Genomic DNA, 12,521 nt, shown 5'->3' with positions numbered 1-12,521 from the left:
ATGATCAGACTCTGGGCTAAGAAAAATGCCAAAGTCAGAGTCTCTTTTGGGTCAGTAGAAACAAACAAACAAAAATCTTTCTGATTGTATGAAATAATCAGTGACTGAGGTAGAAAACATGAGAAAGATGGAAGAGGGGATTTATATCGTATACCCCATCACAAACAACTTTTAAAAGATCCCTTTAGACAGATGTGCTCTCCTCCAAAGCCCTTTCTCAGTTGCTTTGCCCTTGTAGGTTTATTTCTCATTTTCCTTTTCTGAGCAGCATTGGGCTTCTTTTCTTCCACAGCTAATTCCAATGTCCAGTAAAACAAAAGATTCTCTAGCAAACAGACCCCATGCTTCTTCTTCTTCTTTTTTTTTTTTTTAATTATACTTTAAGTTCTGGGAAACATGTGCAGAATGTGCAGGTTTGTTACATAGGTATACACGTACCATGGTTGTTTGCTGCACCCATCAACCCGTCATCTACTTTAGGTATTTCTCCTAATGCTATCCCTCCCCTTGCCCCCCACCTCCTAATAGGCCCCGGGGTATGATATTCTCCTCCCTGTGTCCATGTGTTTTCATTGTTCAACTCCCACTTAAGAGTGAGAACAACTACATGCTTCTTAGTAAGAGATTTAGCCAGCATTTTTGATTATTTGAATGTGCTATTTGAGGTCTTACTTTCATCCCGGATGATCAAAGCATTTTCTTCCAACACATATTGTACTCTCCCCAAGAGACATTCTGGTGAGCAAAAACCTCTCCATTTTGTGACATTAATAAATAAAGACTGCAGAAGACAGAGGCTATCAAGACTTGAGATTAGTGATAAGACAGGGGTTCTCAGCCTCAATGCTATTGACATTTTGGGCTGGTTAATTTTTTGTTGTGGGGGTGTCTTGTGCATTGTAGGATGTTTAGCATTGTCTCTGGCGTCTACTGACTGGATGCCAGTAACATCCCCTACTCCTAGCTTGATAACCAAAAATGCCTTCAGACTTTGCCAAGATGTCCCCTGGGGAACAAAATTGCCCCTGATTGCAAACCAGTATTAATAATAAGGAATTCTAATAATTCAGACAGAAAGCATTTTTGAACTGCTGGGGGTTGGTGGTGTGGTATCTGATTTCTCTGAATATCCTCAAGGTAGGTTATTACGAGTAACTGTATATTGGCATAAAACATTTTTTAATAGCTCTGTTTATTACCAGGCAACAGATTGGGTTATTTCTGTTATATTTTTTCTGATAGGAACCAGCTCCACCGATAGGTAAAGGAAGTGTGGGATCTTCAAAACCTAGTGCTGAGTTTATTAACTTGATACCATGCTGTCTTATTCCTTTTGCTGTGTTGATGGGAAGGGTCAGCTACTTGGATGAGAATGAAGATAATTTTAACATTCAGGCTTGTACAGTGTTTGCTGAAGTTATCTTCTTGGGCTGGGGTTTGCAGGCACGTTGTTGGATGCTCAAAATATGCCACATACCATGAGAAAGTGGGTGAGTGGGTCTGGTGGCCACAGCCTTGAAGCCATTTATCACCTGCTTTGGTGGAGCTTACAGTTCAGTGTAGGGGGTGGAGAGAGGACAGTAAAGGGAGGGGTGAAGATCCTGTTTTGTGAGGTTGTTCATGTACTTTACCAGGGAGAACTTTTTCCTCAGTGCTTGATGCTTGTCCTGGGAGGGAGTCTATTGGTTCTGGTTTCTCTGCTGCCCTAAAAGTGACATTACAGTGTGCATGCAATTGGAACATACAAGCTGCCATACTCTTCACGGCAGCCCCGGAAGTGGTTTTACTTGCAGAATGAGAGGCTCTGGGTTTTAAGTGATCCTAATTTGTGTCTAGTTTTTGCTTTTTTTTTTTTTTGCCTTAAAGTTAATAGGCTGCATGTCTTCTTACAAACTAGATTAAGGCCTCTCCAATCTTTTCCTTGTCCTGGCACATGTAGATAGTATTTGTTTGGCACAACGTGGTACCAAGGTCACTAGGGTGTCAAGGTACTCATGACCAGAGTTAGATAGGGTGACAAACTGGTCCTGGTTTGCCTGGGACATTTCTGACTTTAAAACTGAAGGTCCCAGGCAAACCAAGATAGCTGTTTACTCTAGCCAGAGGTGACTGGCCTGAGGGCTCTGGTGGCCCTGGGCTCTACTCAGACACTGAGGGCTGAAAGGATCAATACACTGGCATCCATGTACCTTATTTGTGGCACATCAGTGTGTTGTTGTGGCACACACTTTGGGACCATAGTGGTCAGAAGCCCCTTTGATCAGAAGGGGAAGAAGTTAGTAAAACAAAAAAAAACAGGGATAAAAATAGTCTTAAGAGCCAGGTGCAATGGACTCATGCTGTAATCCTATCCCTTTGGGAGGTGGAGAGGGAAGGATTGCTTGAGGCCAGGGGTTTGAGACGAGTCTGGGCAACATAGTGAGACCCTGTCTCTACAAAAATTTTAAAAAATTAGTGAGGTGTAATGGTATGTGCCTGTAGTCCCAGATACTTGGGAGGCTGAGGCAGGAGGATCACTTGAGCCCAGGAGCTCAAAGTTACAGTGAGCTGTGATTGCGCCACTGCACTCTAGCCTGGATGATAGAGCAAGAATCTGTCTCTTAAAAAAAAAAAAGAACCAACACCAAAAATAAATTTTAAAATAACAAATACAAATAGTCTTTATTCTGTATTCCCCATGGAATATCTGGCCTCTGGATTGCCTACCTCTTTTCCCTTGGCTCAAAGGGTAGCTCACATGCCCTCTGTGATGCCTATTGCCCTGGTGTCATGGTGGGACAACAAGGATTCTACTGCTGCCATCTTTTCTGATGATGTGAGCTGACCAGGCCAAACCTTTTGGGATTGCTGCCAACCAATCTCCTTGTTGTTAGCTTGGACACTGGAGTTGGGCCACTAAATATTAATGTTACTCCTTCTATCCCGGCTGTCTTTTCAGTCCAACTCATCAGTGCCTTAAGATAGGAGAGGAAATATTCCTCACCCCAACTCTTTATTTAACGTCTCCCAAACTAAGAGCCTTGCTCTACCTCTTAATGTGTCTGTGTAGTCCTTAGACCTATTACTCGCGTTTGACTTACATTTTCAGTTTCCTAAAATGCCATTTATTGTTGAATCCGCCAAAAGTGCCTGGTGTTCTGGATTAGAAATATGAATGATGCCACACAGGGAAATCATTTGAAAATGTTCCCCTTTCCTGACAGTCAACCGGAAGCCATGAACTGAGTTTGAACTTTTTGATTCTCTCCCTCGCTTGGAGTGGGAGCACACAAGATATGATAATGAAAACCAAGTTGTCTCACAATTGGAACATCTGGTTGTTTGAACACCCTGCATCTTCTGCATCCCAGCTAGAAGCTCTCTCTCTCTTTTTTTTATCAGTCTGTTTTTTTGTGTGTGAGAAAGAGATGTTTTTGCACCAACTGTTGCCACTGTTGTTGCCATACATCATCAAAATAGACCAGAAAACCTGCTGATACGGCTGTGTGGGTGAAAATGGACACTGTCATCAGCTTTTTAAAAGAATATCTGCAGGGAGAAGCGTCTCCTTTAAAATTTTAATGCCCAAGTTAAGTTTAGAAGCTAGAAACTCTGCAATGTAGGGGTTAAAATTAAGCAGTTGGTGGTTACAAGTATCATGGCAGAGACCCAAGGAAACCTGTCCAGTGAAGACTGGAGAAGCAGAAGCTTAGACTCGAGTTTGCCTGAAGACTCCGATGAGGCTGATGACTGAGTGTCTTAATCTTGACGAAGATGGAATATGACAGATAGCTACAGGAACACGGCTTTGAAAAATCTTAACATTCTTTAATAAAGAGGGGCCACTTTTTAAAGTTCCTTAACAAAATAGGTTTAAAGATAGTATTTTTCTTGTGTAAAACACATCTCATTTCTATGTATTATATTAAAGTATCAGATTGAACCAGGTGAAATTGCAGTAATTCACCTGTTTTTCGTATATGAAATGGCAATTCCCTATGGTTCCTAAGAACCTTCTGCTCTTCCTGAAGAATTAAACTGGAGCTATCGCTGATCTCTGTGTGTTTGAGTCACTGAGGTCCTGCTTTTGTGCCTCAGGCAGACCAGATCTTTGGCCTCTCCTGAATTGGCATGTAATGCCCTGAGACCCTCATCCCCAATATTAGCTGCTGCCATAAACTAGAAGACAATAAAACAACAATAATAGAAATATTCGTATTTTTAACACAAAGTACCAGTGATTCTTCTTCTTTTTAAAGCTTTTATTTCAGGTTCAGCAGTATGTGTGCCAGTTGGTTATTTAGGTAAACTTGTGTCACTGCAGTTTATTGTAAAGATTATTTCATCACCCAGATATTAAGCCTAGTATCCAATAGTTATTATTTCTGATCCTTTCCCTCCTTCCACCCTCCACCCTCAAGTAGGCCCCAGTGTCTGCTGTTCCCCTCTTTGTGTCCATGTGTTATCATCATTTAGCTCCCACTTATAAGTGAGAACATGTGGTATTTGTTTTTTTGTTCCTGAGTTAGTTTGCTAAGGATAATGGCCTCCAGCTCCAACTGTGTTCCTGCAAAGGATATGATCTTCTTTCTTATGGCTGCACAGTGTTCCATGGTGTATATGCATGACACTTTCTTTATCCAGTATGCCATTGATGGGCATTAAGGTTGGTACCATGTCTTTGCTATTGTGAACAGTGCTGCAGTGAACATACATATGCATATGTCTTTATGGTAGAATAATTTCTATTCCTCTGGCACATACCCAGTAATGAGATTGCTGGGCCAAATGGTAGTTCTGTTTTTAGCTCTTTGAGGAATCGCCACACTGCTTTCCACAATGGTTGAACTAATTTACACTCCCACCAACAGTGTATGAACGTTCCGTTTGCTCCACAACCTCGCCAACATGTCTTATTTTTTGGCTTTTTAGTAATAGCCATTCTGACTAGTGTGAGATGGTAACTCATTGTGGTTTTGATTTGCATTTCTCTAATGATCAGTGATACTGAACATTTTTTCATATGATAGTTGACCGCATATATATCGTTTTTTGAAAAGCGTCTATTCATTTCCTTTGCCCACTTTTTAAAGGGGTTGTTTGTTTTTCTCTTGTAAATTTGTTTAAGTTCCTTATAGAGTCTTTTTTGAGACAGGGTCTCATTCTGTCGCCCAGGCTGGATTGCAGTGGTGCGATCTTGGCTCACTGCACCCTCTGCCTCCTGGGTCCAAGTGATTCTTGTGCCTCAGCCTCCCAAGTAGCTGGGATCACAGACGCACCACCACACCCGGCTAATTTTTGTATTTTTTAGTACAGATGGAGTTTCACCATGTTGGCCAGGCTGGTCTCGAACTCCTGGTCTCGAGTGATCCACCTGCCTTAGCCTCCTGAAGTGCTGGGATTACAGGTGTGAGTCACTGTACCTGGCCCTCCTTACAGAGTCTTGATATTAGGCCTTTGCCATATGCATAGTTTGCAAATATTTTCACCCATTCTGTAGGTTGTCTATTTTTTCTCTTGATAATTTATGTTGCTGTGCAGAAGCTCTTTAATTTAATTAGGTCATGTTTATCAATTTTTGCTTTTGTTGCGATTGCTTTTGGCATCTTCATCATGAAATCTTTGCCGGTTCTTATGTCCAGAATGGTATTTCCTAGGTTACCTTGAGGGTTTTTGTAGTTTTAGATTTTACATTTAAGTCTTTAATCCATCTTGAGTTCATTTTTGTGTATGGTGTAAGGAAGGGGTCCAGTTTTAATCTGCACATGGCTAGCCAGTTATCCCAGCACCATTTATTGAATAGGGAATTCTTTCCTTATTGCTTGTTTTTGTCAGCTTTGTCAAAGATCAGATGGTTGTAGGTGTGCAGCCTTATCTCTGGGCTGTCTATTCTGTTCCATTGGTCTTTGTGACTATTTTTAGTACCAGACATTCTTGTAAGCACTTTACCTTTATTAATTTACATTTTAAACTAAACAAGAACTCTATGGGGATAGATAATTATGTCATTTTTTTTTTGTTTTTGTTTTTGTTTTTGAGACAGAGTCTCAGTCTGTTTCCCAGGCTGGAGTGCAGTGGCGCAATCTCGGCTCACTGCAAGCTCGGCCTCCCGGGTTCACGCCATTCTGCCTCAGCTTCCCAAGTAGTTGGGACTACAGGCGCCCACCACCATGCCCGGCTAATTTTTTTTTTTGTATTTTTAGTAGAGATGGGGTTTCACCATGTTAGCCAGGATGGTCTCAATCTCCTGACCTCGTGATTCGCCCACCTCGGCTTCCCAAAGTGCTGGGATTATAGGTGTGAGCCACTGTGCCCAGCCAATTATTTCATTCTTTACAGACAGGAAAATTGAGGCACAAAAAGGATAAGTGACTTGCCTAACACTCCACAGGTAGTATGTGAGGGAGGCAGGATTTGAACCCTCCAGTGTGGCTTGAGAGCCTGAGCTATCCCTCACAACAAAGCACTATGCTATCTCTCCATTGCGGGAGACTAGGAAACAGCTCGTGGGACCTGACCAAGGCAATGGCAGTTGAGACAGAGATAAGGGGACTAATAGGACAGGTATTAAAGAATTAGAACTCACAGGACTTGATCCCAGTTAGATGTGGGGGGATGGGGGAGAAAGAGATTTGAGGTCAGTCCTAGGTTCCTGGCTGGTCCTGGTGGGAGGATGTTTGTGTGACTTTGTCATAAGAGGAGGATACAAAAAGAGGCCATTCATGCTGGGTGATGAGCTCAATTTCAAACGTGTGCTGGGTTTAAGTTGTCTGGAGGCCATCAGGTTTGAGGTCTCCCATTAGACAGCTCAGTTTACAGGTCTAAGCTCAGGAAAGAGAATAGGGCTTAATATGACTATTTAGAAGACGGCAGCATATAGGGAGGAGATGAAGTTGTGTACATAAATATAATCACCCAGAGAAAGTGAGCCATATGAGAGGAGATTTCCAATGTCTGCTTTAGGTTGGGTTCCTCAGGGGCAGTCCTAGAGATGAGGATTCGTGCAAAAGTGATTTAATTAGCAAGACAAGTAGGGAAGAAGAAAATGGGCCAGGAAAAGGAAGGAAGTCAAGCAAGGAATGCAATGTTAAGCAAAGTTCCACGGAGGTCGACTTTGCCTCAAGCCCAAGGGGTGCTCTGGAGACAGTGTACGTCCCGCTTCAGAGATATCCCAATTGAAGCCAAGGGGCTGGACTGTTTATTCTGTCAAAGAGAAGCAGGAGCAGGTTGTTGGGAGTGTTTAATGAAGCAGCAAAGTGATCTGCTGTATTACTGACATTATCATCTGGAATGACAGAACCGAGAGAGTGTCAACATCTGAGAGCACTCAGAGGCAGGGGAGTTGAGTCAACAAATGAAACAGAGGGAGCAAGGAGGAAGATGAAAGGAGAAAGCTGCCATAGGGGAGTCAAGAAATAAGAGTTGCCAGGAGAATGAGGCAGCTGGTGGTGTCATATACAGCAGAGAGGTCCAAAATCCTAGCAAGGTCAAGGGTGTACATTGAATTTGATGATGGAGGTCACCAATGACTTTGTTAGGTAATGCTGGAGTGTTGGGGATGGGGTGTTTGAAGTCTTACTGTGGTGAGTTCAGGAGTCAATTGGCATAAGAAAGTAGAGATAATCTAATTTGCTTAAGAAAGTTGGCAGTGATAGGGAAGAGCTATAGGGAGGTAGGTTGAGAGGGTTGCATGACTGAAGAAGATGTGTGTTTTTTTTTTCTTTTTAGCTCTTGAAGGAGGTAAGGGGAAGGAGAACTTGGAGTTGGGATTATGATTTAGGAAATAGTGTTTCTAAAATTTTACTTTGTACAATGATCTTGTAAAAAGTCAATAAATATCAAAAGGAACAGAATGTTGTAACACTCCATTATTATTCATGAGATTCATTATATAGATTGTTTTATTAAACACGTTTTTCTCAAGATCCTCATTATTTTTTATTTTTTTCAGACAGGGTCTCCTTCTGTTGCCCAGGATGGAGTGCAGTGGTGTGACCACAGCTCACTGCAGCCTCAAACTCCTGGGCTCGAGCAATCCTCCCACCTCAGTCTCCCGAGTAGCTGTGACTACAGGTGTGCGCCACAACACTCAACTAATATTTTACTTTTATTTTTTGTAGAAACTGGGTCTCCCTATGTTGCCCAGGCTGGTATCAAACTCCTGGGCCCAAGCGATCCTCCTGCCTTTGCCTCCCAAAGTTCTGGGATTACAGCGTGAGCCACTGCACCCAGCCAAGATTCTTATTTTTATTTGTAAAGGATTTCATATAGACATGAAAGTAAATGACAATCTGCAATATTATTTCAATTTGAATCCTTTGTTTTAGAAAATATTGTAAGCCGATAAAACTAGTAGCCTCTGATGATACAACATCTGCTATTCGACACGTGGAGTTAGGTGCTTTAAATAAATTGTCTAATTTTCTTCATAAACTATGTGTATGTCCTCTTATCATGGCTGGGGAGAAAACTGTCAAAGCTTGCATGCTAGCAAGGCTCAGGAAGCATATTTTAAAAAGTATTTTCATTAGTTAAAAAAATTAAGAAATAAATGACTGCTTATATATATATATAAAAAAGGCGTAAAACCCAAGCATTCAGGAGTACACACTGTAGAGGTGACCTTTATTAAGTATTCCAGGCAATTATCAGTCTCTTTTTCTCACTTGTATACATATATGTGTGTGTGTGTATAGTGTGTGTGTGTGTGTGTGTGTGTATATATATATATATAATCTCATTAAAAAGGGTAATCAGGCTGGGTGCAGTGGCTCACACCTGTAATCCCAGCACTTTGGGAGGCCAAGGCAGGTGGATCACCTGAGGTCATAAGTTGGAAACCAGCCTGGCCAACATGGGTGATAGGGTGAAACTCTATCTCTACTAAAAATACAAAGATTAGCCAGGCAAGGTGGTGGGTGCCTGTAATCCCAGCTACTCCAGAGGCTGAGGCACAAAAATCGCTTGAACCTGGGAGGCAGAGGTGGCAGTGAGCCAAGATCGTGCCACTGCACTCCGGCCTGGGCTACAGAGCGCGACTCCGTCTCAAAGGAAGAAAAAAAAAAAAAAAAAATGGTAATCACACTATATATTCAATTTTGCAATTTGCTTTCCCACTCAATATTCATAATCTGTTTTTTCTTTTGATAATTTATTATTTTTGACAGTTTAAAATAATATTACCTATTACTATTTCCTGTGACCGTTTGCTCTGGGTCTTTTTATGTATAGGCCAATCAGCTGGGTCAAGGACCAATTCCTAGAATGGTTTTAATAGTAAACCATTTCTTTGATAAATGATATTTGTTATTAGCAGAAGCGAGGATTTTGTCTCCTTTTTTGAATGTTGTTTTAAAGATGAGCTTTAGCTATCAGTAACCAAATGTGTCAAACTTGCTGTTCCCTAATTTCAAACCATAATGGAGAAGTGGCTGGGAGATGATCTAAAAATAAAACAGTATACATGGAAGTAGTCCCTTGCTTATGTTTGGAAGGCCATAAATTTTCATAACTTTGTGCCTTTCACTGCTCATAGCTCCCTGGCCTGTGATTTATGCTCTGCCTAATGGACAAGGTTAGTTAGGGTAGCCAGATGTCCCAGATCTAGATGTAGATAGTGAGGTTTTACCCATCACTATAACAAAGAACCACTCCATGATTTGCAAAACAATTATTGGGGTCATAAGCTTAGCGATTTTTCTGTAGTGGAATTGGGCACATGTCCCCCACCCCCCTTCCATGTTGATTAGCCTCTGAAATGTCACTTGTTTGGACCCTGTACATAGTCATGAGCTAACATTTCCTCATGGATTACTTTTAACAGATAAAGAACAGCTGATAAGCTCTGAATTGTGATTTATCAGTTAATTAGGATTTCAATAAGAAATGATAAGCATTCAGAATCTCAGAGCATCACAGTAGTTTGCTTATATTTTAGAATTTACCGTCTACTTCTTTTTAAAAATCTCTTTTATATAGATCTTATTTTCCTCTCCTTCCACTTAAAACCCTGAAAGTAAGCTGATACTTTATTTACTTCTGCTCTTTTTTATTTTTATTTTATTATTATTATACTTTAAGTTTTAGGGTACATGTGCACAATGTGCAGGTTAGTTACATATGTATACATGTGTCATGCTGGTGCGCTGCACCCATTAACTCGTCATTTAGCATTAGGTATATCTCCTAAAGCTATCCCTCCCCCCTCCCCCCACCCCACAACAGTCCCCAGAGTGTGATGTTCCCCTTCTTGTGTCCATGTGATCTCATTGTTCAGTTCCCACCTATGAGTGAGAATATGCGGTGTTTGGTTTTTTGTTCTTGTGATAGTTTACTGAGAATGATGATTTCCAATTTCATCCATGTCCCTACAAAGGACATGAACTCATCATTTTTTATGGCTGCATAGTATTCCATGGTGTATATATGCCACATTTTCTTAATCCAGTCTATCATTGTTGGACATTTGGGTTGGTTCCAAGTCTTTGCTATTGTGAATAGTGCCGCCATAAACATACGTGTGCATGTGTCTTTATAGCAGCATGATTTATAGTCCTTTGGGTATATACCCAGTAATGGGATGGCTGGGTCAAATGGTATTTCTAGTTCTAGATCCCTACTTCTGCTCTCTTAACTCTTGTATTTTCACCCTTTCGGTTTTTTTCTCTGGTTTTGTGGCCCTGTGTAAATAAATGTTTCCTTGACTTTTTTCTTTCTCTCTTTCTTTTTTTTTTTTTTGAGCCTGAAACCCCAGTCCTGGGAAGATGTTCTAACTCTTGATGGTTTACCAGAAAAGAACATTTAAGAATTTTCTCAATCCTGATGTCAGAGGAGGAAGAAAGGAACAGGTTCTTCCCCAGGGCTTTTGGTAGAGCCTGACACATCTCCTAAAGCCTGGGGATCTTGGCCAGGGGAGAAGAATACATTCCTTTACCTTGGCCTGCCATTCTCAGTCTGTAGCTTGATTTGGTCTTCTGTCACTCCCTCTTGTGTTCATTTTTTTTAGCTCTTGAAGGTAGGTGGTTGAGAGCACCATCAGTTTAGACATGTAGCGGCTTACATTTCTTTTTAAAGTCAACAAGAAAGATTTGGAAGTGAAAACCAGCTACCGTTCATAAATATTTTATAGCAGTTTTTCCTATAGTTCTTAGAAGCTGGGGAGACTGCCAGTGAGAATGTTGTAGGCTGGAATGGAGCTGGTAAGTTGAGCCTAACCTGTGGGAGGTGGCCTGTGATTGGGACACAACCTTGTTGTCCCACATCCTCATGACATTTATTGAGTGGGAGTCATCTTTGCCTGCCACTGCATGAAAACTCTGGCTGACCCTTGACTCTTTGGTTAGTCTCAGGAAATAACAATGTCACAGTTGCTTTAAGTTGCCAACACAATCAGAATTCGGCAGTTAGAGTGCTTAGTGCTAGGGAATAAATAACAACTCTGACAATTTAAAATGTAAAAATAGGTCAGGTGCGGTGGTGGTTAACCCCTGTAATCCTAGTGCTGTGGGAGGCTGAGGCACTAGAGTTCACTCTTGAGGCCAAGAGTTCAAAACCAGCCTGGGCACATAGACCCCATCTCTACAAAAAATTAAAAAAAAAATTAGCCAGTCATGGTGGTGTACTCCTGTAGTCCTAGATACTATGGAGGCTGAGGGGGAGGAACATTTGAGCCCACAAGTTTGAGGCTGCAGTGGGCTATGATTGTGCCACTGCACTGCAGCCTGGGTGACAGAGCAAGACCTTGTCTCTTTAAAAAAATAAAATAAAATAATTTGAACTAGTGGCAATACATGCTTATTATGGTATGACATTTTCTCTCCCCACCTTCCAAGCTGGCTACTTGCAAGGGGAAATGGAGACATAGCTCTTTACTTTTCTTCTGCTTTGCATTACTCCTAACCTCAGTTTGTTAAGCAAAGTTTCTGCTCCCTCCTGGATGGGATCCGGAGGTTGGGTGGTGAGAGGATTAGAGGGAAGAGACTCAGGATATGCTGTCATCTCAGGTGGAGCTCTTGGGTGGCAGGTGTTTAACCTGTGGGTTATTTAAAGGCACCTGTCACTGGACTCAGCCTGTCTTTGTCTTCAGCCTCCTGGACCCTGCCAGCACAACTCTAGTAGGAGGGTACATGAGCCTGCTTCCACAGCCCCCAAGAGGCCACTGTGCATGCACAGCTTCTGCCTGCGCAGTTTCCTTCATCACTCTGTGGCCCTGTCAGCCATGACCCACGATGGGGCTATCTGGGCTTTCCCTCATCTACAGATCACCCCTGGCTCATGAGAAAGTCATTTATTTTTTGTGCAAATTTCATTAGCAAAGAAACATCACTCATTAGACTTCCCTGGCAGGAGTCAGACCTCTCTTATTCTACTGGGCACCAGCAGGTGACACAATGCAGCTCTTCAAGTGGCCCTGTTAAACCTGCTTTAACAGGCTTGGGGGTAGCTAGCCAGTAACACCCTCGCTCCCCAGGGTGGAGGGAAGGGTTTCATAGAACCATTTGCTGAAGAAAATTGTCTTCATCAAATCTTTACTTTTGATTCTT

This window comes from Homo sapiens, chromosome 15 (assembly GCF_000001405.40).
Source record: "Homo sapiens chromosome 15, GRCh38.p14 Primary Assembly".
NCBI lineage: Eukaryota > Metazoa > Chordata > Mammalia > Primates > Hominidae > Homo > Homo sapiens.
Note: the sequence above shows the minus strand (reverse complement) of the source record.